General features: G+C 47.3%; 1 protein-coding gene and 1 long non-coding RNA gene across 3 annotated transcripts; one reads left to right on the forward strand and one right to left on the reverse strand.

Moving 5' to 3' along the window:
* Positions 3,061-26,252, reverse strand: KRT73 (keratin 73). 2 transcript variants are annotated; one of them, XM_047428761.1, is made up of 11 exons: positions 26,156-26,252; positions 25,815-25,974; positions 13,569-25,310; positions 11,657-11,871; positions 10,770-10,830; positions 10,070-10,165; positions 9,179-9,343; positions 6,695-6,820; positions 6,106-6,326; positions 4,738-4,772; positions 3,061-3,943 (listed from the first exon to the last, which is right to left on the reverse strand). In XM_047428761.1, the coding sequence occupies exons 3-11, from the start codon at positions 14,013-14,015 to the stop codon at positions 3,687-3,689; spliced, it is 1,623 nt and encodes a 540-aa protein (XP_047284717.1). In that variant the 5' UTR covers positions 14,016-25,310; positions 25,815-25,974; positions 26,156-26,252; the 3' UTR covers positions 3,061-3,686. The 2 variants fall into 2 exon arrangements, with proteins under 2 accessions (XP_047284717.1, NP_778238.1); NM_175068.3 differs by lacking the exons at positions 25,815-25,974; positions 26,156-26,252 and having other exon boundaries at positions 13,569-14,050.
* KRT73-AS1 (KRT73 antisense RNA 1) lies at positions 5,342-10,796 on the forward strand. Its single transcript, NR_126005.1, has 3 exons — positions 5,342-6,918; positions 7,832-8,320; positions 9,055-10,796. It is a non-coding gene; the product is annotated as a KRT73 antisense RNA 1 (long non-coding RNA).
* Positions 26,253-26,929: the final 677 nt, after the last annotated feature.

Consider the following 26,929-nt stretch of genomic DNA (forward strand, 5'->3'; position numbering starts at 1 on the left):
TAGAATCGGAAATAAAGTACTGTTCTTGTCACACACAAAAAACCCCCACAAAACTCAGTGTTTTCCAAACCACTTTTTAGGCCATTGAGCCCTCTCTTTGGCCAGATACTTTATGGGGCCAGAGTTTCAAGGAATATACTTTAAGAAACACTAAACAAGATATCTCCACTTCACCATTAAATTGACTTAAATTTCCCAAATCTGAAGAGACTTACAATATCTCCCTAAAAACATGAAGGAGACCTAAATATAATAGGCAGGCTTATCTAGTTTATGGCAATATGGCCAGGGTTGTATTGTCCAAACCAAAGGGAGGTAGTTTGCATGGACTCCTGAGAGCATGGCCAGCATCATCCCTGCACTGGCCAAGGGAGAGAGAATTCTCAGCCTGGTGATGAGCATTGGGTATCTAGACTGAGCAAGGTGAGCCACAGACTGCCAGAGCTCACCAAATAACCTTGCTCTCCTCTCACTTCCCAGCCTCCTTTGCAGTTCTGGTGGGGCTTGGGGTCATGTGACTAGCACTGGCCAATGAAACATGAGTGGCATTGAAGTGTGTCATTTCTGGGGTAGGGCAGTAAGCAGGTCATGTGCCTCCTCCATCTCTTTTCCCCTGTCTGGTGACCTTGGAGTTCATGTGTCCCATGTGGCAGGGCTACAAGGCAGAAGAGCCTGGGTCCCTGAGACACCCAAAGGGAGAACCACACAGGGCAGCTGCCCTAACCTGCCTTGGACAGTGAGTGAGAAATAAATCTTTGCTGTGTTAAGTTAAGCTGCTCAGATGTCAGGGTTTGTCTCTTGAGGCTGTCAGCATTCATTATATGAACCCAAGCTTAGAAGTTAGATGGCAGAAATCTTACATAATAGCGAATGCTCTGTATCCTAAGTTCATGTTCTCAAACAATCTTCTGATCACTATCAGACATTCTCTACTTCCCTTCTCACTTCAGTTTCCTGACAGAATAGTCTATACCTAAAAACAATAGGGGCAGCCATTTATGGAGCACTTACTATGTGCTAGAAGAACTAAATAATTCTCGTACATTATTTCATTAAATTTAATTCTCATGACAACTCTATGAGGTAACTCCAATTATTAACCCCTTTGTACAGATGAGAAAACTGAGGCTTATGGAGCAGAAGTATCTTGCCTAAGTTACACAATTAGTAAGTGGCAAAGTCCTTCTGACTCAGGGTCCATCTGACACCCAAGGTGTTAACTTCTTTCTCAAGCTCTACAGGATAAAATCCCAGCTCTTAGCATACATGAAGGGGCCTCTCTTACACATCTGCTGCCTGCCTCACCAACTCTGGATGCCACTGCACCCTCCTTCTCCACCTACTGAGCCTCCTCCATCCTTACACTTCACACTCCAGCAACAGTCACCTATTTGTACCATGTTGGTGCCTCTGGCTACAAAGCCCACTTCCTCCTCTTGTCCACCTAGTAAATTCCTATCCATCCTCTAAAACCTCTACACATATTGCCTCCTCTGAGAGCTTTCCCTGACCTCCCTGAAGTTCCTGTCTCTCCTCTGTGCTGCCTCTGTGTCTTCTATTGTTGCTGATACCTCATGATGTGAGACACCATGTTACAGTTAGGTGTTTTATGGTTATGCCTCCATTAGGGACATGGACAAGATTTCTTCATCACAGTATCCCCAGCACTAGCACATGCCAGGCATATGATATATGCTTAATGAATATTTGTTGAACTGACTTTCTTCACTGGCTCTAAGAGTATAGTCCTGAGACTAATTATTCTGTCTGCCAGTTCTCCTTTGGGAAATAAGCTTGTGCTGTAATTTATGAGATGGTCTCTTTAAAGTCAGAATTTTTGAATTGCTTTACCAGCAGCTGTACACCTCTTTCGGTGAGCTAATTAAGTCAAACCAAAAATATGGAGGACACGCTTTTGTTTCCACTAACATTTATTAAGTATCAATTTTGTGCCAGTAATTGCACAAGACATCCTCGTGTTGTCTCATTTTAGCTTAACAACAATTTAGGGGCATTAGTCTTCCTGTTTTATAGCTAACGAAATGAGGTTCAAGAAGATTGAGAACTTTGTTCATTATTGCCACTTAGTTTCAGAGTCTAAATCTGAATTCAAAGCTATTGACTTGAAGTCTAGGATCCTCCCAGGAACCACAGGGACCTGTTCAGATGCAACGTGGTAGCCCCAACCTGAATGTGTGCTAGCCTCTCACTCGCTTTTGCATCCTGTTGCATCCTGATGGCATCATCATGGCCTGGGGATCTATGAGAAATCTCTGAGCATTTTCAAAACAAACATTTCCCCCCTGAGTTCCTCCCTGGGCCTCACTTCACGTCTCCCACGCTCACAGTGGTTGAGCCCTCCTCTGTCCTGCTCCATCTCCTCCTAGAGCAGAGACCCAGCCACATCCAGGTTGAGTCCTGTCAACCTAGGACTGACAGGCTTGTTACACTGGGCCCCACAGCTTTATGAAAAGAATCTGCAATTGTGTGTGTAACAGAGAGCCCCATTCTTAAACATATACGCATATGCACACACATATTCATACATACATAAACAAACTCATAGCCTGGGTGATCTCATATACAGATGTTTATGTATATACACATATACATAAACACCCGTGCTCAACTCAGTGGGAACTTTACTAAGGGCCAAGAGAACACGTGTCATTACCTCAAAGAGGAGTCTCTACATTTGGGCCTTTTCTTAGGGGACATGGAGCCATCATAATTCGACCTAGGCTACCTAGAACTGGCCTTCTGCTGCCTCTTGACCAGTTTTAAATCTTGACACCAGGCAAGTGTGGGCTCCTTCTCCCTGCCAATAACCCAAATGTTCTTAGAGATCCCCCATTCACTGGAGAATTGGCCTGAGAAAAGCAAGACTTAGAAGGTGATGGTGAGATCACTCAGGCTGAATAGGGTCTCTTTCACTCAGATCAAAAGATCCTTCCAGACTTCAGGTGCCCCAGGCTCCCATTCATTGACCACTCCACAGGCAGAAGACACATGGACTGAGATGAGGACTCCCTTAGGAGAGAGAATCAGCCTGACCCCACGTGGGCTTTATAAGTTTATTGGTAAGACACAGGAGCAGGGAGGTGAGGCCTAAACAAGGACAAGTACCCACAGATGAAGAGCACAAATCCCTTGGTTGGTAGAATTAGCCTCAAGGGGTACTCCTGGCTATGTAATATGCAGTGGCTATACAAGATACAACTTCCCACCAGGTGTTTTGCCTGAGCCAGTATTGCTCTAACATGAGAGAGTTCCTGCAGGTCTATCAGTAGATCTGAAAACTTGTGTACCCAGGGAGCACATGGCCAAATAGTTACTGAGACAGGGTATGAAAGAGCAGCACAGGCAGATTGGGGTTACCCTTGAGAGACAGCCTTCCTCTGCACAGGGACATGCAGGCAGAGAAAAGGCCAAGTCTTCTTCCAGAAGGGGAGGCTGAGTTAAAAGGCCTCTTTGGATGGAGGCAGAAAGATGGGCTCCAGCTCTCAAATCCTGATTCAACATTAACAAAGACTGAGGCAGAGAGGTCAAGGAGAAGGAGGAGAGGTCCACAGCAAAGCAAAGCAAGAAGGAGATGAGGACAAATGAGACAGAGGAATTTCCTAGAAGAGTCCGGAGCAGTCTGCCAGGGCAAGGCAGACTACTGGGAAATGGGCTGTGTTGCACTTTTATCTCATGGTTTTTTTGGTGGGTGAGCTTAGAGCTAAGGTCTTTCCCTGGGAGTCCCTGAATTCACTTGCACTCCCCAGCCTGGTCCTGGCTTCCCCACGGGGGCTACAGTTCCCACTGCCAGTGACACAGCCCCCAGGCAGCATGCTGTAGCCCCCGCTGACAGAGCTGGGCCAGTAGCCGTAGGTGCCAGCATTGCTGAATCCAAAGCCAGCCCCTGTGCCTGCCATCCCGGCCATGGAGCTGTTGATGACCGCTGCAGAGGAGGGAGGGACGAGTGATCAGTGTATATCCCAGGACAGAGGTGGCCTTAAGTCCCCCTCCAACCTCCCAGCCCCACTAGCTTAAATACCTCCTTCTTAAGCAAACACTTCCCATCAACCATGAACTTGGGTTCATTTGAGCAACTCAAGCGCGGGAAGAATAGCCCCAGTCCTGCAAGACTCCCAAGTCAGTCACCTTGTCATTCTATGAACAAACAGGAGTAGCAAGGGCTTTCCCCAGGGGACAGATGATGCTTGAGCATCAGATAAGCCAGCAGGTTCTTGCATTTAGCTTTACAATACCTTCTGAGTATTTTTCAAAAGAATTTCCTGATTGTTAAAATTAGGGAGTTTCTGCTGGTCCCACTATAAGAAAGAGACTGCCAAACCCTGTGGGGCCAGCATTAAACTGGCTTGCACAGTGGTCCACACACCAGTCTCCACTCCCATTGAGGAGGCACCACTCTGTGCTCAGTTTCCTTCATGCAGGAGAGCCGGTGTGGGGGTGACAGAAGAGGGGAGGGGCTGAGAGTTTCACCACAGCAGGCAGGAGATTGCTATGAAAGAGGCTAGTGTGCAGTATCAGAATGTCCTGGGCACTAGCTCCACCTGGAAGAAGTAGCTCTGAATGGGGAGGCCGCAGGTCTCAGCAAGGAAGGTGAGTATGTGACCAAGTGGTCAACAGGCAGAGCCAAGCTCTTCCTCAGGGGGCTGGGCGGTGGACACCCACCCACTTTGTGTTTGTTGATGGACTAAAAGTATTCCCTCAGAGTCATGAAATACTCACAAATGCTCACGGAGTTGGTATATTCTCCGGACATCCTGCAAGAGAGAAAAGCACAGGAGAGTCTGAATCACGTGGACTCCCATAGTGGCCCTCACTGCCTAAACACAGGCTGGGGATCCCCAGCCAGACCAGCTCAGCCTTCACGCACCCCACACTTGCCAGATGGCACTGGCTGCCCTTGCATGTCTCTAAGCCCTCCCTCTCGCTCCTCAATCTACTCTTCCCACTGCAGAGATGTGGAACCTGCAACTTTGGAACCCCCAACAACATTACCACCCCCAAGGTCCCTCCTGCAGGGTTTCTCTTGAACCCATTTCTTTACTACTGTGAGCAGCTGTCTGAATAAATACATATGTGGAAAGATCAGGATCAGGAGTTGCTACTAATGAACGAACTGTATGATTTTGGGGCAAGTGACTTCTCTCCAGGTCTCAGTTATAAAATGGTGCTTGGTTAGAACAGGGTTTTTCAAATGTTCATGCTTCGTGTGCCACCCTTCTGACTGTTGCTAGGACCATGTTTGACTTGTACTGTTAGATATTTAGTATTTTTAATTGACTCTGCCTTTTACGACAAAAGTGCATTTCTTTTAAAAAGAAGTTTTTTATCACCAGGGTAAATAGAAACCAGTATTATTACCTAACCAAATAAGAAAAAAAGTAGCAGTAAAAATAAATATAATGAAAAGAAAACAATTTAAAACTTTTGGGCTAAATAATGCTATTATTTTCCCAGAGATGCTGCACCTGAGATCTACTGTCTCTTTATCAATAGGGGATATTTGTAAGTGTCTGAGAGGTGTTTTTGTGTTTTGTCTGTTTGTTTGTTTGTTTGTTTGTTTGTTTTTGAGATGGAGTCTCATTCTGTCACCCAAGCTGGAGGACAGTAGCAGGATCTCAGCTCACTGCAACCTCAGCCTCCTGGGTTCAAGCGATTCTCCTGACTCAGCCTCCCAAGTAGCTAAGATTACAGGCATGCACCACCACATCCAGCTAACTTTTGTATTTTTAGTAGAGACGAGGTTTCTCCAATGTTGGCCAGGCTGGTCTCAAACTCCTGACCTCAGGTGATCCACCCGCCTCAGCCTCCCAAAGTGCTGGGATTACAGGCACGAACCACTGCGCCTGGCCATCTGAGAGGTGTTAAAGACACAACAGCACCCAGCTAAGACTTTCTCCAAAGAGTCAAAAGAGAACTGTAAAGGAAATTGCTGTCACATTATCTGGCAGGATGCTGTTTGAAACTATGCTTGTGGGTGAAGTAAACACATCGCCAGCTCGCCGCCCCCTCCCCCCCGCCCCCAACCACACTCTGGGAAACTTTAAGGTGGAGACTTGCAGTTTCTTCCAGTCCCTCGGTCCCACCCACCTGCACTCCTCGCCCTCCAGCAGCTTGCGGTAGGTGGCGATCTCAATATCCAGGGACAGCTTCACGCTCAAAAGCTCTTGGTACTCGCGCAGCATCCGTGCCAGCTCCTCCTTGGCCTGCTGCAGGGCGCCCTCCAGCTCATCCAGCTTGGCCCTGGCATCCTTGAGGGCACAGTCCCCCCGCTGCTCGGCGTCAGCGATGGCCGTCTCCAGGTTGGCACACTGGGGTCAGGAGGTAGCATTTCTCCCTGAGTTCCTCCCTGGGCCTCGCTTCACCTCTCCCATGCTCTCAATGGTTGAGCCCTCCTCTGTCCTGCCCCATGTCCTGGAGCAGAGACCCAGCCACATCCAGGTGGAGTCCTGTCAACCTGAGACTGAGAGGCTTGCTACGCTGGGCCCCACAGCTTTATGAAAATAATCTGCAATTGTTCCAAACTTCAGATGGGAGCTAAGGGTGAGGGATGAGAGCAGGACCTCCATTTGAAGAAGGGGATTCTGAAATGGATGCTCAAGAGAAGGAGGGGGCAGGGGGTGCTAAGCAGTTCACCCCTCCCTTAGGAGTGAGTAAGGAAGGCTCCAGTCCCCTTCACCTGCTTCTTCACACTCTCAATCTCCGAGCGCAGTCTTTGGATGAGACGGGTCAGCTCTGAGATCTCATTTTTGGTGTGTTTCAGGTCATCCCCATGCCGGCCGGCTGCTAGCTGCAGCTCCTGGAACTAGAGGAAAAGGAACCAAAGCAAGAACACTGACTCAGGGCTTGGCTGGGATCAGCCTGGTACAGAGACTGTGCCTGCACTTGCAGAGCCTGGCAGAGGTGGGTCCAGGTCCCCCGCCTCACCATGTCTATCAGCAGCCTCCCATTAAAGCATTGGGCCATTGCATTTGCTTGCCTTAAGCACAGCTGATCTCATGGATGGTTAGAATTGGCCATAAGGACTGTTGAATGTCCCAGACTCTCCATATGGCAACTTTATAACACACTACTCCAATTATGACGTTCCTCTGCCTATCGTCCTTCAAAGTCAAGGTCAAATTCAAACTCTTACATGGCATCCAGGGGCTCATTTCTTTCTGCCCTTGCCTAACACCTATCTGACTCCCAAGCTCGGCCAAACAGTCCCACACTTCCCCCAGATGTCCCACGTGTTCTTTTGTCTCTGAGTCTTTGCCTGAGCCTCTCCTCTGACCTGAAAAACCCTCCCCCATCCATCCTCCTTTTTCCCTAGCTAGCTCCAACTTAACCAGTGCAGAGTCCCTTCCTCCATGAGGCCTTCCGTGATGCCCTGGTTGGGTGCAATTCTATTCCGTTGCCACTGGCACACCAGTCCATAGGTCTCCCCACACTGTAGTGTATTGTGAACCTGTTTCCATGTGTTCTCCATCCGACCCAGAATGAATGGATGACAGAGACTTTTTCTTTTAACTTTGAATTCCCAGTACCTAGCATAGTGCCTAGTTGGTGCTCAAAAAAAGTCTGATGAATGAATGAGTGAGCCAATGAGCTGTCCATCTGTATTTTCTGTGACTCCCTCCCTTTGATACCTTAGCTGGGCCCCAGCCCACAGGCAGCTTTCCAGGGCTGGGATGGAGGGAGGGATTAGCATGGAGGAACATTTTGTGTGCATGATGGGGGTGGATTCAGCTATACCCCAAAACCACTAGCCATGAATTTTAGGTCATCTACTAATTCGGGATTATTTCTGTCTTTGTTGTCATCTATTAAACAGTCACAGAGAGTACATCAGTTCTACTCAGAATGTGGCTCAAGGGGAAAACAAAACAGGGACCCTTCAGCACTCTGGTGTACTGCTCTGTCTCTGTCACTGGGTGCTCCACCCCAGCATGGCCCAAGATTTAGGATTGTTCCTAAAGATGTCAAGTTATCCAGAAAGCAGAGAAGGCAGAAGGGCTTCTCTCTTCACTCCTTGTATTTTATCTTTGGTGCCAACCCTAAACAAGGGGCCTTCTCCTGCTTCTCCGCAAGGCTGTGTGAGCAGGATGCCTCCCCGTACACTGGTTCTGACACCAAGCAGCTTCATTCTGAGGCAAACAGATGAACATCTTCCTGCCACTCCTCTGTCAAGCCACACAAAGCCCTTAGAGTAAATGCTTCTTTCCCAGAGTCACCTTCTGATTTTCTGCCTAAATGCAGTGGAATTTGAAGTCAGTCACCTAGATTCTGATCCAGCTGCGTCACTTGTCAGCTATTGCCTTTGGTAAGTAGCTTGAACTCCCTGGGCCCTACGTTCTTTATCTTTAAAAAGGAATCATCAAAATAAGCAATAATAATACTGTTATGATTCTGGGCATTCCTGACCCTAGCTTGCAACACTAATGTGGAAGGCTTTGGGGACTGAAGAGTTGAGTTTGAACCTTTACCAAGAAGCCCTAGCCTATGTCTCCTAGACCTTGAAAGCCTCTCTCCTCCACCACTGCAGGCTAGCAAGGAGGCAGGGAGAGGGATGAGATAAGATCTCCCAAGAGTGTGGATTCCCTTGAGAAAGAGCCTGATAAACAGCAAGGAACAATCAGGAAGTTGCCATCTTGATCTGAGAAACCAAATTATCTAAAGAATCACTTCCCACCCACTACCATTAGGGGAGTTAAGATCTGAGGCCTCAAACTTCTGCTTTATCCTTGGAGTTAGACTTGAATGAAAAGGTAGAAATTACTTGATTCCAGATCACACTGAAGAGACCCCCTCATTTATGATAATTAGCGGGGGAGTTGAGATGCCAACTACTCATGTGGCTTCTCCCCTCCAGACAGAACTCTCTGCCTCCAGGGAGTGGTTTCTGACCTGCCCCACCTGGTCCTAGTTCCTCAGTCTGGACTCTGTTTACACCACATTCACCTGCACTCAGCTGAGTGCATCCTCCAGGGGTGCTGTTGATCTAAGTGGGTGCCAAGGACAGAGCTGTGTCTTCTCCTCCCCTTTGGCTTCCCCCAGTGCCCAGGAGAGTGCTGTGCTCCCAGCAAGCTATGGGCCACCACAGTGAGTCATGGGGCAGACAAGACAGAGTCTGGAGCAGAGGGCCCTGCATACTTCACTATGGGGAGTTTTGCGGCCTCACCTTGGTCTGGTACAGGGCCTCGGCCTCGGCCTTGCTCTTCCGGGCGATCTCCTCATACTGGGCACGGACCTCAGCAATGATGCTGTCCAGGTCCAGGTTCCGGTTGTTGTCCATGGACAGGATGATGGACGTGTCGCTGATGTGGGACTGGATCTGAGCAGTCTCCTGCAGGGGAAACAAGGAAGCATGAAATGCCTTCTGTGACCAGAGAAAGGTCCCAAGGTGATGGCCCTGTCCCAGAGGGATGGCCCTAGACCATCCCACACAGATGGAAGCTGCACTTCCCAAAGCTTGTAAGAACAGAGCTCACAGCCCAGAGGTTCCAATACCACATCTGAAAACTGCTGAATGGGTTTGAAGCAGCCCAGGAAGAAAACAGCCCATATGTCTGTCCCCTGAGACAGGACAGGAGTGGGGAAGGTGGAAGACAACAGCCTGGCTGCCACACATGGGACACTAAGGGGCACAGGAGCCCAGAAATGCTTGGCCAATAGGTTGAGGCTTGAAACCAGATGTACATAGAGAAGGCAGAAGGGGTATGAGGACTTCCTACCTCTATCCCTGGGGATTCCTGCCCAAGACCCCAGGAAACATCCCCAGCCACAGAGAGAAGAGAAGCAGGAATGAGAATATGCTTGGCTGAAGTTCAGTGGGAACCCTTTAAGGACTCTGTTTTCCTGGAGGAAGTGAAAGCAGGACATCCTCAGGGCAGTCAGGGATGGATGGGGCACCAGGATAGATGGCCACTCCCACCTTTGATCTACAAATTTCTCAGCACCCCAATGCTGGAGGTGCCCTGGACTGCTTAAGTTACAGATAAGTAAGAAACTGTTCATCACATATCTGTCCTTCCAGAAGACAGAGCCAGAGGTGGGGCAGGGGGAGCCTTACCCCCTCGTACAGACACTTGAAGAACTTGATTTCTCCATCCAGGGCATCCACCTTGGCCTGCAGCTCCACTTTGCTCGTGTAAGCTGCGTCCACGTCCTATGGAGAATCCAGATACCCCTGACCTCACCTTTCTTCAAGCCCAGACAGGCCTCTCCAGCGAACTGACACCTGCAGGCCCTGCCCTAGCTAGCTGCCCAGGACTTCAGATCCAAGGGGCAGGAACCGGCCTTCCAGCCACAACTTCACTGTCAGACTCACTGCGAAACCTGGGGCAAGTTTCTCATGCCTCTGGAACTCCTTCTGCCTCTATTTCTCAGAGAAGGGTGTGAGACTCTATACCCCACTCAGCCAGTCATTCAGCCAACAGAGGGAGGCAAGGACAGCCACGGCGATTTGCCAGAAACTAGCAGAGTTGGAAGGCAAACCTGCAGCCCCTCCCAAAGCCTGTCCTGTTCCCCAGCCAGAGGGGACATGAGTTGGGACTGACTATCCACATCTAGGTTCCTGTCCACAGACAAAGTACTGTGTGCTAAACCAACACCAGGTGTCCCAAAATGTCCCAAGCAGCAAGCCCTTCATCTCCTCCTTCAGCACTTTGGCTCCAGGCCCTTCTGCGGGGGGCTCAGACCTCAGCTGCTCCTCTCTCTTAGCCCAGCACCCACTGCTGGGGGACTGAAGGGAACCCATGCACCCTCCTCACCTTCTTAAGCACCACAAATTCATTCTCAGCAGTTGTGCGCTTGTTTATTTCTTCTTCATACCTGCAGGGAAAGCATCACAGGAAGCAGAGTGTGTGTCTGTGTGTGTGTGTATACGTTCTCATAGTGAAATGAGAAAAGAGATACCCATATTATATGCCTTTTAAGAGGTATTATTCTATACCTTTGCAAGTCCATCCCAACACACCAGGACTATTTGGCCAGAGTTGGAGGCCGGGTATGAAGTAACCTCCTCCTGAGCCTGGGTGGTTTGAGGTCTGATTTCCTCTGATGCCTGGGGAGTGAGTAGGTTCTTCCTCTTCCCACTCAGTATCTGAATCACAGAAGCATGCCAGCTACCCCTTTCAGCCATGATTCTTGTGTCAATCCTGCTGCCTGACAACCTACCAACAACTCCCCTCCATCCCTAGGCAGGGGTCCCAAGGAAGCCAGAACTATCTCCCAGGGGAGAAAGAAGGCACATGGCCCGTGTCCAGGACCGAAAGGCAATGAGAGAGGAAGCCCAACAGGAACTCCACCTCCTTCCCTGTGGCAGAGAGCAGCGGGTGGGTGGGGGGTGGTTCTTTGGAACTCAGGGGCACAGTGGTGAGCTTAGGAGCCAAGAGGCTGCGGCACACACAATACAGGCTCCCTTGAACAGGGAGCAGGAAGGAGCATGCCAAGGAGGGGATCACCTGCCAGGACAGCCCTGACGCTGCCCAAGAGGCTGGTTGTCCACTGTCTAGTCTGCCTCGTTGCCCATAGAAGGCTCTCATCTTGCTGGGACAGATGAACCCAATACCTCCAAGGCCAGAGGCAAACATCCCAGTGCCTGCTGGGAAAGCCTCACCCTGGGAGGCAGACCAGCCTGGAGTGGCGTCCTGCTCACCTCTTCTTGTAGTCCTCCACCACTTCGCGCACGCTCCTCAGCTCCGAGTCCAGCCTCACCCTGTCCCCAGACAGCGTCTCCAGCTGCTTCCGCAGGTTGCTGATGTAGCCCTCAAGGATGGGCTCCAGGTTATTCTTGCAGTTGTTCAGGTCCAGCTGCTGTAGCAGCTCCCACTTGGTCTCCAGCACCTGGTTCTGCTGCTCCAGGAACCGCACCTGGAACCCATGCCACACATACTTAAGCAATGTGGAGAGGGGATGTGAGAATTCCCTTCCTGGACAGGAACTGTGTTTTCTTATGCTACATTAGCTTTAAAAATGAGCCTCAGCCCTTAAAAACTGCCACCCATGCCACTCACACCCCCACTCCTTACCTAGGGTCCTTTATCTGACTGAAGTTCTCACTCTGAGGCAGCCCTTAAGGTTGGGAGGGGCACCAATGTCTTCATTTCCCTCTCAAACTATCAAGATCTAGATCTCCTGTCTCCTCTGCACTTATCCAAACCTGCCTGGACCGATGTCCATGTTCAGTCCAGGCCACCTCTCCAAGGCAGCCCCTTAGACACAAGCTGGCCTGTGCTAGCCTTCACACTGTCAGGCCTTCTGCTCGGGGTCTGGTGGCCCGTGCTCTGCCTAGTCTCTCCCTCCTTGTGCGTGGGCTCTCCCAGCCCAGCCAGAGGCAGATGTTCAGCTTATCTGGGGTCTCCGGCCCTCCTAAGTTGCTTTCATGTCTGAATCTCTACTATCTCAATCACAGCATTGTCCCAGCAGCAGAACAAGCATTCTCAAGTTGCAACCTACAAATATATCATTCCCTTGCTTAAAACCCTCAGGTGGTTCCACATCACCCTCAGGGTCAAGTCCATATTCCTTATCACACTCTTCATAATGTGCCCAGCCCTCCTGGCTTCCTTCTTTACTCATACAGTGATGTCGTAAACCGAAGGTCTCCCATTCCCCAGACAAGTTCTACCATGCTGCACGTGCTGTCTCCCTAGATTGCCTTTTCCCCACCTCCATCTGAAAACTCCTACTCATGCCTCACCACCCTACCTCACTGTCGCTCCGGGTGAGCTTCCCCTGCTCCTCTAAGCTTAGGAAGTCTCTGCTTCCCAATACCTTCCTACCACTTTGTTCCTCAGTGATTCTCAAACCTGAGTGTACATCAGCATCACCTGGAGAGCTTGTTAAAATGCAGGGTGCTGGGCCCTGCTGCAGAGTCTCTGATTCAGTTGCTCTGGGGTGGAGCCTGAGAGTGTGCATTCTAACAAGCGTCCAGGTGACGTTGCTGCTGCTGGTTCCAGGGCCACCTTTGAGAACCACTGCTCTAGGGCACCGTGACCTCCAGCTGCCTTGCCTCATAGGCTGTGTGTGTTACGGACTGAGTCTGAGCTTTCAGGGGACACAGGAGGAACAGCTGGGTCGCATGGCAGTCTAGATGCCCCAGGCTGTCAAGGGCATCTCCTTCGCCTAGCTTCTAAGTCTCACAGGCTGTCACTCTGCTACTTCTCAACTCAGAGACCGCTCTCATTGCTTCCTGGACACCTTCCTGGGCTAGGCTGCTGGCTCCTCTCACCCCTCCAACCCTGGTCCCTTGCCTCTGATGTCCAGGCTTTGTCCAGTTCCTCCCTGGGCTATGTCTGCATCCTGGGGAGGTGTCCTGCCTTCGTCTGCTTCAGACAGGGAGCACCCCAAGGACAATGAAGGCGGGGGAAGGAAGGGGCTCTACGGCATGAGCAAGCCTTATGGGCCCAGCACCTGGGGAGCTTTCAAGTTGTTTACCTGGTGTCTGATTTTGCTGGGAGAAAATGATTTCTTGCTCTCAGGCAAATTGAACCACAAATTAGGGCAGTGGCTCCCTCCTGAGTCCTTAAAAGGGGAGCCCAAGATCAGCTTTCTCCAGAAAGACCCACCTTGTCAATGAAGGAGGCGAACTTGTTGTTCAGCACCTTGATCTGCTCCCGCTCCTGGGCACGCACTTTCTGGATTTCAGGGTCCAGCTCCACGTTCAGGGGTGCCAGGAGGCTCTTGTTGATGGTGACCTGATGGATACCCCCGGGCGGGCACAACGACGGACACACGGACCCCAAGGCCACACTGCCAAACATGCTGCCAGCAAAGCCACTGGCCCGGCCCCGGCCAAATCCATAGCCTCCTGCCCACCCACTGCCACTGGCCACATTGAAAGAGATGCTCCGGGCACCCCCCAGGCTGTAAAGGCTCCGACTGCTGAAGCCTCCACTGAGCCCTTTGCCCCCTGCTCGGTAGGAGGATGAGCTGCCCCCTGAGAGCACAGCGGAGCAGCCGCTGAAGCCCCCCTTGGCAGCAGCTCCCGACTTGTAGGTGAATTGGCGGCTCATGGTGGGGAGGCCAGAAAGTGGGGATAAGATGCTGACCCTTAGCTGAGATGCAGTTCACCAGCCTGTGATCCTGGGCTCCCACTTTATAGGACTCAAGAGGGAGCCATGGGCCTAATTTGTGGGTTCAGTTTGCCTGGAAGCAAGAAATCATTTTCTCCCAGCAAAATCAGACACCAGGTAAATGACTTGAAAACTCCCAAAGTGCTAGTCTTGCAAGTCTTGCTCATGTAATTTGAGTTTTATCTAATGAACATGTGTAATTAGCATGGGCACATTATCCATAGAAAGATCTTAGGTGGGAGGTTTGTCGCAGTCTCAATTGCTGTTCCCCAGGGAGTGGTGGGGCCTGGGATTGTAGGGGTACAGAGGGGAGACCTTTAATTGACAGTGTCATCTGTTAGAAATCTCACAACCATGCCAGCATCAGATGGGCTGCTTCAGGGACCCTGGCTGAGCTGCTTTTATGTGGTTAAGAAGAGGCTGCTGCTGCCTGGCTTCCCAGAGTTCCTGGAGACAGGTTTGATGGCTGGCCAGGGCCATAGGAGAGGAGCACACTGGGAATCCAGGACCAGCCTCTGGCTGCCAGCCCCCTGCTGTGCCCTCCCAGGCAGCTCTCCTGCTCCTCTGTGCCAGCCGGGCTGCCCTGCTCACCTTCCTTTGCACACACTGACTTCTTTTTCCCTTTACCATCCCACTACCCTGACTCTTGACCTTGAAATTATGGTCATTGCACCATTCACGATGGCTGACACTGGTGCAGCACTTTACAGTGTAACAGAGCTCCTCACACAAGAAGCTCATTTAATCCACTTAGTCTGCATGGAGGGGAATGGTGATGATCCACATTACACAAATGGGGAAACCAAGGTTCAGATAATTGAGGATGTCATTCCTTTAGCAAACATTTAGTGAGTCCTTTCTTTGTGTGAATCCCAGAGAATGAAAATGCCCCCAAAAAGCACAGGCCCCAGCCTTGAGGACTCCCTTGGCTGGTCTTCTGACTCCACATTCAGAGCTATGCCCGCCTTATTCATTCGTCCATCTATCCGTCCAACCAGCCAGCCAGCCATCTACTTGTTCATTCATTTATCCATTCGTTTAACAGACTTCTCTTGAGGGCTGACTCTCTCCCAGGTACTGTGCTAGGCTCTTGGGTCCCGAATTATGAAGACCAAACCTAGCTCACAATTTTGGAGATGGGGAGGTAGGGGAAGACATTTGAATTTCATGGATCCTTGACATTGCCAAAGTATGTGACCCAAGAGTTTCCCAAATCCCAAATCCCAAATATATCCATAGTATAGAATTTCCTCCATAAAAACACAAGTATTTCACTAGCTGGAGTACTTGAATGAACAGTTGGCCCATCCTTCTTTTCTATTTCTGTATAGAGGTTATGATATGCCTCTAAAATTGTTGTACTAAGCAATTGCCAAATTCAACCTCCCCTCTGTTTTATACAATATGGTTGTTTTCTAGTTAAGAATAATCATTTTCTTTGATGTCTTCAATTTCACTAAAGGCAATGCCACTTGGAAGTCCTTTAATCTTTTTTAGCTAACATGAAGTTCTATTCCTTTTTTTCTTTTTTTTTTTTTTTTTTTTTGAGATGGCGTTTCACTCTTCTTGCCCAGGCTGGAGTGCAATAGCATGATCTCGGCTCATCGCAACCTCCACTTCCTGGGTTCAAGGGATTCTCCTGCCTCAGCCTCCTGAGTAGCTGGGATGCAACACCACGCCCGGCTAATTTTGTATTTCTAGTAGAAATGGGGTTTCTCCATATTGGTCAGGCTGGTCTCGGTCTCCCAACCTCAGGTGATCTGCCCGCCTCAGTCTCTCGAAGTGCTGGGATTACAGGCGTGAGCCACCGCACCTGACCCAAAGTTTCTATTCCTTTGTAAGTTTCTTTGTAAGGCACAAAGAAGACCAACAAAACTGCATTGTGATGAGAATGCTTAGTATTCCAGCCAGAATCACTCCCTAATTGGCTCATTTCAGCACACCAGCACTGGGGTGGAGGTGATTCAGGCCTGCATCTCAGCAAAACTACAAATTGCTGCATGTCACAGGCCCTGAGATAACCCCCAATGGCATTTATGCTGTGAATGCCAACTCTGCAGTATGGCGTGGATGTGCTTACGAGCAAACAGCCCCTCTCCTTATGGTTTTCACTTCCCCTCCCCTCCCTGGCCTTCTCATCTTGTGAACCTGCCACAGAGGCACTTCCGGAAACCTTCTCTGATCACTTTCCTAATCCAATCACACCTCTCTTCCCAGCCTCCCACATGTTGTTTGTTGTCCAAACAACAGCATCTATTATGTCAATTGTCTCTTCTAATTTGATGTCTCTACCTGTGTTCAGGAGGTATGTCAATCTTTCCTAACGGCCAGAAATTTTCCTGAGGACAAGATCCAGGTCCTATCCTCCCTTTGGTCCTCTCTACTCACTTCCCAGAACTCCAGTGGCAAAGGACTCTCAGGCAGTCATGGACTAGGCTAAAAAACTCTTAGGTGCCCTTTGAAATCATTCTCCCTAAGAACAGTATCCCTAGCACCTGTCATTGAAATGCCTCTAAGTGGGTTTTCACACAGTGAGCTCCTTATATTTCACATCCCTTATATTGCCCTCACCAGGGGAAACTCAATGCCAGATGAACCCAATTACCAAGTCAGCCCCACTTCCCACAGTGGGGCTGTCCTGCCATTAGCCTCTGCCCAGACACTAGGGCAAGAGTTTCTGATGGTTTCAGAAAAGAGAGAAAGAAAGGGGGGGGGGGGGAGAGAGAAAGAGAGAGAGAGACAGGCAGGAAATCAACTTTCTGTCACCCCCAGGGGCAATCAAATAAATATTGTGAAATCAGTATTCCCTATGTGGATATTCCACAACTAGAAAGATGAAGTAGACATACTTTTCCCTTCTTCACAAACATAAGAAGACTCTGAAGCGTAGAGAAGAAGGCACACCAACAGGGACCTCAGGACCCAGTGAAAGACATGATGATTATTTCTCTAGGTTTTCTATTTGTCTCCTATATTCCAGACTTGGGGCAGAAGAAGGCAGGAATCTGGAAAGGCTCAGATTTTTAAAGATTAAACAAAAGCTTGATCTCTGTAGCCACATCATCAGGAAAGGGGCAGCCTAGCAAGATGGAAAACTTACAGAGAATAATCACTCTATTCCATCTCAACACACAGAAAATACTATGGTTTCACCTACACCCACATCAGCAAAAGCTGAGTGTGAGGCCTAGACCTTCACACTCACCAGGCTATAATGAGGTGCCCCAACTGCCCCCTCCCCCAGCAGTTAGATGGAATCAGGGAAGTCCAAGAAAGAAGCCGGGATTCCATCCCCACCAGGAGGTAACAAGTGCCTGACCCACTTGGTACCAGTGGAGACCATGTGGGGAGCCCAGACTTCCACCCTCACCTGGCAATAACAAGGTAGCATCCACACCCTTTCCCCTGCAAGGACAATGTCAGAAGAAGGCAGCCAAAACAGAAGATTTAAACAATATCCAGAATCTCATAATAGTACCAAAATGTCCAAATGTTTATTTAAAAAATCACTCATTGTGCCAAGAACAAGGAAGTCCTCAAATTGAATGAAAAAAAAAGACGATTGATAGATGCCAATACTTAGATGACAAAGTTGTTAAAATTATCTGACAAAGATTTCAAAGCAGCCACAATAAACATGCTTAAATGAACAACTAAGAACATGCTAAATAGATGACAAATTAGACAGTTTCAACAAAGAAATTTAAAAACCAGAAGAACTAAATGAAAGTTTTATTTATTTTTTATTTTTTTATAAACATCCCCAACTTGCTTGTTTTATTGGAGAAGAGGACATGGAATAAACATCTGGGATGTGAGTCTGGGAAGAACCCCCTCTCCTCCCCATATATGCCTACTGCCCCAAACTAAAAATAACCAACTCTGGGAGAGCAGCTGAGACAGCAACTGGGGGCAGAAGAAGGAGACACGGAACTGGAGGGCAGTGGTGAAGAGACCACACGTGTGCTGGGAGGGCCCAGAGGCAGTGACAGCATGAACAGTGCAAGTACAAGTCTCTGTGCCTTCCCTGGGGTTGTGTATAAATATATAGAAATGAGGCCTTCTATCCCATTTCTCTCCCTTCCGCTCCTTGCTGCCTGCCACAGTCCCAGCTCCTCTTTCCACACGAGGGCGAAGGGAAGTGGAGGATGAACAAGTCATCACTGAATTGCGATCAGACCCACATCCATCAGCTTCTGGATCTTTAAATGGAAGTTTTAGAACTAAGAAATATAATAATCAAAATAAAAAACTCAATGGATACACGTAACAGGAGAATAAAAGGCCAGAGGAAAGAATCAGTGAACTGGAAGAGAGGACAATAAAAATTACCCAATCTGAATAATAAAGAGAACTGAACAACAGACTGAAGAAGAATAAAATGAACCAAGTCTCAGGATCAGGGAGACTCTAACAAAAGATCTAACAGTCAAGTCACTGGGGTTCAGAAGGAAAGGAAAAGAAGTATTGCTGAAAAATAACTCAAAGAAATAAGGAATAAAAATTCCCCAAATTTGGCAAAAGACGTAAACCCACAGATTCAGGAAGCTGAGCAAACCCTAAACAGAATAAACCCAAAGAAATTCATACCTAGACATATTATAGTCAGAATTCTGAAAACTACAAATAAAAACCTGAAAGCAGCTAAAGAGAAACAATGCTTTACCTTTAGGGAAAAAACAATTTGAAGGACAGAAGATTTCTCATCATAAACTATGGAGGCTAGCAGGGAGTGGCATAGTTTTCAAGTGCTGAAAGCAAAGAACTGTTGATGCAGAATTCAGTGCCCAGTAAAAATATCCTTCAGGAATGAAGACAAAATGAAAACATTCTCAGATGAAGAAAAACTAAGAATGTGTTTCCAGCAGGCCTACCCTAAAAGAATGGCTAAAGTAAGTTCTCTAAACAGAAAGAAAATGATAAAAGAAGACAACTTGAAACATTAGGAAGGAGGAAAAAACATGATAATTTTTAAAAAATAAGTTAATACAATAGACTTTCCTTCTCTTGAATTTCCTATAAATTATGTTCAATGGTTGAGGCAAAAATTCTAACACTGTCTGATGTGATTCTAAATGTATTTAGATGAAATATTTAAGAAATTATATTATAAATGAGAGACGGTAAAGGAATATAAAGAGGTAAGGATTCTTCAACTGATAAAATAATGATAGCAATAGACTGTGATAAGTTATGTATATATAATAAAATACTCAGCAGCACTAAAAATGCTATACAAAAACGTTTACTAAAAGACACAATACATAAATCAAAATGGATTCTTAAAAATGTTCAAGTAACCAACAGGACAGTAGGAGAAAAACATAAATAGAAAAAAGAGAACAATTAGAAAACAAAAATTTAAATGGCAGCTTAAGCCCTAATATATCAATAATTATGTTAAATATAAATGGCCTAAATGTACCAATTAAAAGACAGAGATTGGCGGAGTATATTTTAAAACATGAACCAACTATATGCTATCTCCAAAAACTTATCTCAACTATAAGTGTCTAGATTAACATCAGATAAAGTATACTTCAAAGCAAAAAAATTATGAGACAGAGAGAGACAGTGTATAATTTAAAAAGACCAATTCACCAAGAAGAAATAGTGATTTAGTAAGAAGACATTCCTAATGTTTATACACCAAACAAAAGAGTTGCAAAATATGTGAATGAAAGACTGATGGAACTAAAATATTAGATAGACAAATCCACAATTATAGTTAAGGACTCCAATATTCCTTTCTCACAGTCAATAGAACAATTAGCAAGAATATTATCAAGGATATAAAAGAACTTAACAGTACCATCAACCAACAGGATCTAATTGATATTTATAAACATTCTACCTAACAAAAGCAGAATAAATATTCTATTCAAGTGCCCACAGGACATATACCAAGATAGGCCATACTCTGGGATATAAAATAAACCTCAACAAGTTGTAAATAACTTAAACCATACAGAGTATGTTCTCTAGCCAAAATAAATAAACTGAATGTAAACAAAGGAAAGATAACAGGATCTATCCAAACACTTATTAACTAAACAATATACATCTAAATAACTCATGGGTTGAAGAGGAAGTCTCAAAAGAAAATTTTTAAAGCACATTATTTGCAAATACATTCACATTTGGAGGTAATGGGAGTTAGGACTTTAACATATCTTTTTTGGAGAATGCAATTCAACCCATAACAGAAACAAAAAGCACAAGCGACAACAAAACAAAAAAAAAAAATAGATAAATTGGACCTCAACTAGTTTCTGACAGAGTCAAAAATAATTCAGTGGAAGAAAGTTAGCCTTTTCAACAAATGATGCTGAAGTAATTATATACAAATAGGCAAAACAAAAATAAAACAAAAAATCTTGATTTAAGTTTCATATTTTGCACAAAAATTAACTCAAAATAGATCACAGACTTAATTGACTATAAAATGTAAAACTATAGAACTTTTAGAAAAACAATAGGGGAAATCCTCAAGATAAAGGGTAGGTAAAGAGGTGTTAGATTTGACATCAAAAGCATAATCCATATAAGGAAAAATCTACTGGACTTCATCAAAATTAAAAACTTTGTACTGCAAAAGACCTTGTTAAGGAGGATGAGAAGACAAGCAATGGACTAGGAAAAATTATTTGCAGACCACATATTCAGCATAGGACTAGGATCTAGAATACATAATGAACTCTCAGAACTCAACAACAAAAGAACAAGCAATTGCATTAGAAAATGGGCAAAAACATCACAAGACTTTCACTGAATAGTTCATACCGATGGCAAATAAGCACACAAAATGAAATTCAACATTAGAGAAATACAAATTTAAGCCACAATGAGATATTACTCAACACCTATCAGAATGGCTTAAATAAGACTTAGTGGCAACACTACATGCTGGCAAGGACCCAGAGAAACTAGAGCACTCATATATTGCTAATGAGAATGTAAAATGGCACAGCCACTCTGGAAAACAGTTTAGCAGTTTTTAAAGAACCAAACAAGCAACTCTCATACATCCCAGCAATTACAAACCTGATCATTTATCCCAGAGAAATGAAATCTATGTTCACACAAAAACCTGTATGCAAACATTTATAGCAGCTTTATTTGTAATAGCCAAAAAATGCAAACAATCCAGGTGCCCTTCAATGGGTGGCAAACCGTGGTACATTCATGTCATAGAGTACTACTCAGCAATGAAAAGAAATAAACTATCACTACATGCAATGACCCATGTGAATCTCTAAAGAATTATACTGAGTAAAAAAAAAAATCCTCAGGGATTGTATGATTTGTATATTGTATGATTCCATTTATGTAATACTCTCAAAAAGATTCCATTTATATAACATTCTTGAAATACAGAAATGGGGAACAGATTAGTAATTGCTTGGGGGTTAAACAGTGTCACAGGAGAGAAGTGGGTGTGTCCAAATGAGGACAACATGAGGGAAATTTGTGATGATGGTAAAGTTCTGTATCTTAATTGTATAAATGTCAATATCCTGGTTGTGATATGCGATAGTACATCTTGCAATGTTTACTGAGCACATTAATAAATTAAGCATGTATATGACAGGTACTGTTCTGAGCACACTAATCTTCAAAATAACCCCATCAAGAAGGTTCAGTTAACACACAGTTTATGGATAAGAAAACTGAAGCACAGAAGGTTAAGTTACTTGCACAAGGTCACATAGCTAGAACCAGGACTGGAAGCCAGGCAGCCCACTGCAGAGTCCATCCTTTTAACCACTACTGCCTGAGATCTTTCTAAAATCCCTACTTTCCCTGACCCTGAGATTCTTATTGAAAAGGTCTGGGTCAGGTCTTGAGCTTGGAGAGTTTCTTAAACTTCCTCATATTGTTTTCATCAGAGCCTGAACCCACTCTCAGGAGTTGTGCCTTTTAACAGCACAATCAGGAGCAAGATACCACAACTCGTATCCCTCTGACCAGAGCTTAGTTTCATGGCCATAGTTATTTTCAAGGGAGGCTGGGAAATGTCATCTTTGGGTGGCTGGCCATGTGCTCATCTAAATTTCTACTTCTGTGAAAGGAGAAAGGATAAGGGGCGGGGTGGGGAGGCACCCAGCAGGCTCAGCTATGCTCTGCCTGCTAGGTAAGCAAGCATTCTTGCCATTGTGTCTAATAGTCCACTGCTCAAAGCTGCAGCATGGAGTCCAAATCTGGGAAGGCAACGCAGCCATAGGATGACCAACATTTTCCATTTGCCTGGGCTTATTGGGTTCTCAGGATGTAGGACTTTCAGTTTTAAAACTAGGAAAGTTCCAGGCAAACAGGAACAAGGTGGCCACTCTACCCGGAAGGGCTCTCTTGTCCTGATCTTGCCCCACCCACCTGTCCTGCCACATCTCTCTGCAAGCTCCACCAGACTGCAGTTTCTTATGCTCTTGTCAATCTCCTTTTCTTTCATTTGACCATTTCAACCATTTATGGTGCACCTACTTATGTGCCCAGCACTGCTCTGTTCACAGTAGATACAGCACCTCTACTTAAACACTCCCTTCCCCTTGGCTAACTCTTCATCTTTCAGGTTTCAGGTTTCAGCTTTGAGAAATCTTCATCAAGGAAGTCTCCCTTATCCTCCTAATCTGGGTCTCTTGTTCCTGAGATGCTCTTCCCAAGATAGCATCTGTCTCACTATACTGTGCACCTTCACTTACCTGCTTCCCAGTAGCCAGAAGTCTTGATCACCCTTTTGTATTAGTGTTGAGAACAATCTGGCACATAAATGGTTGTTGAATGAATGCATGCTGCCTCTTCAGAAGTGTAGGAGTGGCTCAAAGGCAGGACCTGTGCACCATTATCCCTGGCTATCTTCCTCCCCTTGCTGCTCAAAACAGAGCTCACAGCAGGGAACTTTTGACAAGACCTGCCTTCCAATACAACACCTCTGGACTCCAAGTGCAGTGCTGGACTGGAAACTGCCTTCTGAGCAAAGCAGGAGACGAAACAGGAGAGTTGCCCTTGTGACCCAAGCCCCCAGGCTGCTTTTCCCACTCCACACCCTCTGGCCATTTAGTTACCTGATAATAGTCCTCCTAGCAATAATGATAGCAACACTATTACCCTGCAATTAGCCAATAATAACACCAGCTTGGCCACCAAACAAGGCTCAAGGCCTGAAGTTATTGCTGTAAAAACGGAAGCTGAGTTTTCCTAATAGAGAGAGGAAACAAGGGTCCTTTGTGCCAACCTTCCAAAGCCAAACAGGAATAGCACCCCTTCCAGTGTTCCCTCCTGTCAGCACAGACAGCCAAGCAAGGATAGAACAGAATGAACATGTGTGTGTGTGTGTGTGCACATGTGCACATGTGTGCCTTGCAGGATGGCAATCTGGGGGTAGTGAACAATACTCAGGGAAGATCTTATTAGTGAATATTTTTAAAGTTTCCAAACAGAATAAATTCCCCATGAAGTTTATTGGAGAGGTGTGGGAGAGAGGGTAAGGTGGGAGTGGGCAACCCTTTAAACAAAACACAGGATGCAAGATCTCCTTCATAAACTGGAGGGCTCCAGGGCTCTAGTCACACCCCTCATAGCCCAGCAGGTCACACTGGACATCATTTCAAACTAGACTCTGCCTGAAGTATGGCCCTTATGATGGATTTGCTTCTGCTATGTTTTTATACTCATTCCGGCAGAAGGGGAGACACCTGAACCCAGCCCACCCTCAGGTTGCTCTCCAGGTGGATAATCCACCTGGCTTTCTCAGGGAATGGGGTGGGGCCGGGCTGGCACACTTTCACCCTCCCAGTCCCCATAGATCTTCCTCTCTCCTCCTCCCTTTTGTGGCCACCCAGGGTCTACGAATCCGTGGAAGGCAGAGAGTCCCTCTGCCTTAGAATAGGTCATAGGAGGCCTTGTAAAATGAAACAAAAACAACTTCTTGCTAAACATGGTTGCAGATAATCAGTACCATGGCTGACATCCACTAAGGTGGATAACTGAGAATTGATAGTAATCATGTTTCAAAAGGTGTTTATGCATGCCCTTACTTCAGTACCAGAGATAGGAGAAGAGCTCTTGCTTCTGCATCACAGAAGGAGACAGTGTGGGCTAAGAGCACTACGAGCCTGCAGGGAGAGACAAGGGAGAAGGTGACTGACACCAAAGGCCCACTGAGAGGGGCTTTCTTCTGGGGCCTGGCATTTGGATGCATGAGGGAGAAAAGAAAAAGAATTTGTTTTGACCCAAAAGCCCATCTCCACATTGCCATAGAAGACAAAAAGGTGGGGGTAGAGCCAGAGCAGGTATGCGTGCTCAGGCAGACAGATACCAGGAGAGAGCAGGGCCAGAAGATTGGCCTTTGCCTCTGGGAGGGAGACCCACAGGTTTCTGTGCCCTGAGTTGGAGACCTGGACTCTCATTAAACTTGACTCCTCATCTCCCAAGTCAGGACCAGCATGTGCAGGATTCCTAGCTTGAGGTCTGGACCCTCCAGCTGGCCCCCAAGGACCTGGCAGCCCTGGACACGAACCTGGATGCTGCACCAGATCCTCAGGGGATGGTGCCCCCTCTCAGGAAGTCTCTGTTCCCTGAGCAAAAGCCAGACACAGTGGCCTGAGAGCTGAAACAGTGCTTGACACCACAGCTGTGGGGAGACAGCTCTGTGCACCCCCACACCCCTTCTACATCCCTGAATATCCATCTCACACAGCATTGAGGGGCACCTTCTTGAAGTGTCCCATGAAGGAACAGTGGCCAGGGCTCCCACACCACCCACTGTCTGGGCCATGTGTCCACCACAGGCAGCAAGGGCCCTGAAGGCAGGGTCTCCCCTTCCCCCACGTGGATGCAGCGTGAGTTTCTACACGGAAGAGGAACCCTGCAGCTCCTATACTGTGGAGGAGGAACCTCCACAGGGCCACGGACAAATAGTGACCTGCCCAAGGCCACACAGCCAATGCCTACAGAGCAAGTTCAGGGCCCCAGGGCCCCAGCTGCCTGGCCAAAGGCTCCTTCCTTTTACTCTCAGGAAAAGGGAAGGTTGGATCCTGACCGCACAGCAAATCCACCCCCACCTATGTAGAGCAGTTCATGTTGTTGGTGACTTCTCTAGATTGCCTGTTCGCATGAAAACAGAATAATCAGTAGATCCTCTCACGGGGCTCAGAGGAGAACAACGTCAGAGGAAAGGATACCTCAAGTCTGCTTCATAATTCATAATTCAATCTCAGCTGGGAATCGCATCAACTCCTGTATAGAGTAACAAGAGCAGCCCTTCTCAATCTGTTCCCCTTGCTCACCCTCCCAACCCACAGTCGCCTCATGGCCACTGTTCCTAGACTTGCACAAACACTCACACTCTCCCAGGCCCCTCAACCTGTATGCCTTCCACCCTTTCCAAGCCCGGGATCAATACAGCCGTGCCTGGACCAGGTGAAACCAAGGAAAACTATAACTTGTCTCCCAGCCTTTCTCAACAGCAGGGAAATCCCCACCCTTTTCCCTCTTGTTCAAGTGAGGGAAAGTCTAGAGGGTAAAGCAGTGCAGCATACAGGGCCAGGATCAGTGCTCATCACGTGCACCCTGGTCAAAGGCCCTGACTGGACAGCACTGCTGAACGAAGCCTGAGGCACATTTCAGGAATGAATGAGTTAATCAATTGCCTATCATACAGATGGGAAGGTTGACAGAGTGCCTGCCACGACGGAGTGCAGTGAGGACCCTTGCCTATCCTGTCTCCTCTGGGTCACCCACCTGCACGCCTGGCCCTCCAGGGCCACCTTGATGCTCATCAGCTCCTGGTACTCACAGAGCAGCTGGTCCAGCCTCCACCTCAGCCAGCTTGTCCTGGGCATCTCCGATGGCTACCTTGCCCTTCTGCTCTGCCTCCAGGATGGTGTCTTGCAGGGCAGCACTGTGCCGAGGGCCAACAGTAGGCAGTGAGTGGATCACGAGAGACCAGGTACCTTCCTGCACCCACCTATGCTTGTCTCTTCTCCACCCTCTTTCCCACCCTTATTGTGGGAAATGTGAGAATATAGAAAAATTGGAAAAAAAATCTATCTTAACCCCACTCTCCCCCCTCCAAAGGCTACCACTGCTGAGTTGGGGTCCCATCTGTTTCCTGAGGTTGGTGATTTCTGCCTGAAGTCTCTGGGTGGCTCAGTTCAGCTCATCGACCTCCATCTAAATGGCTTTGAGGTCCTCACCCTTCCTCCTGTCAGTGACCTGGAGCTTCTGGTACAGGAAGTGGGGGAAGGCAAGAGTGAAAAGATAGCACAGAGAGAGTGAAAGCAGGGCTCCTAACCCCAGATCTCTAAGCCTCGGTCAACCAAGACTTTTATGTCCTGGCCAGGCTGGTCACTGTGGCCAAAACCAACACACAGAGGAGACATATTCCTGTCTGCTAGGAATGTATAGTCCAGCTGAGAAAACAAAACAGTCCTATGTAACATACTTACGTAACTATCAAAGATCACCTAGCCAGTTCCTAGACAATAATATGGAATGCTCTGTCCCAGTCAGATCTTGATGAAAGAGATAGTAACATAGACAATCCATAGTGGGAGGAAGATATCCACTATTTTATGTGTGGACCTAGAAGCGTTATTTCTACCAAAGAACCACCTTAAATCATTTTCCACCCAGATGAGTATTAGGAACGTCAGGCTTCCCAGAGATGGGCTTCCATGCACTGTGGAGGTGGGAAGGCATTGGGGAGCCAGTGGAGGCAGAAGGAAGCCAGCCTGAGTTGAAATATTGGCCAGCACAATGTGTGGAATGAGGAGCTGACTGCACTGGTGTGAAGGCTGCTTGGTGTTTCTCAATGCACCTGAGTCTGCAGAGTTGAGACGGCTCCCCTGACCCAG

This window comes from Homo sapiens, chromosome 12 (genome assembly GCF_000001405.40).
Source record: "Homo sapiens chromosome 12, GRCh38.p14 Primary Assembly".
NCBI lineage: Eukaryota > Metazoa > Chordata > Mammalia > Primates > Hominidae > Homo > Homo sapiens.

Excerpts from the sequence above, each read along its gene's own strand:
- KRT73 (XM_047428761.1), bottom strand. The coding sequence starts at position 14,015 with ATGAGCCGCCAATTCACCTACAAGTCGGGAGCTGCTGCCAAGGGGGGC. Across the intron at positions 10,831-11,656 it reads GTGGAGGACTACAAGAAGAG|GTATGAAGAAGAAATAAACA; the intron begins GTGAGCAGGACG and ends CTTTCCCTGCAG. Across the intron at positions 9,344-10,069 it reads TCAAGTGTCTGTACGAGGGG|GAGACTGCTCAGATCCAGTC; the intron begins GTAAGGCTCCCC and ends TTTCCCCTGCAG.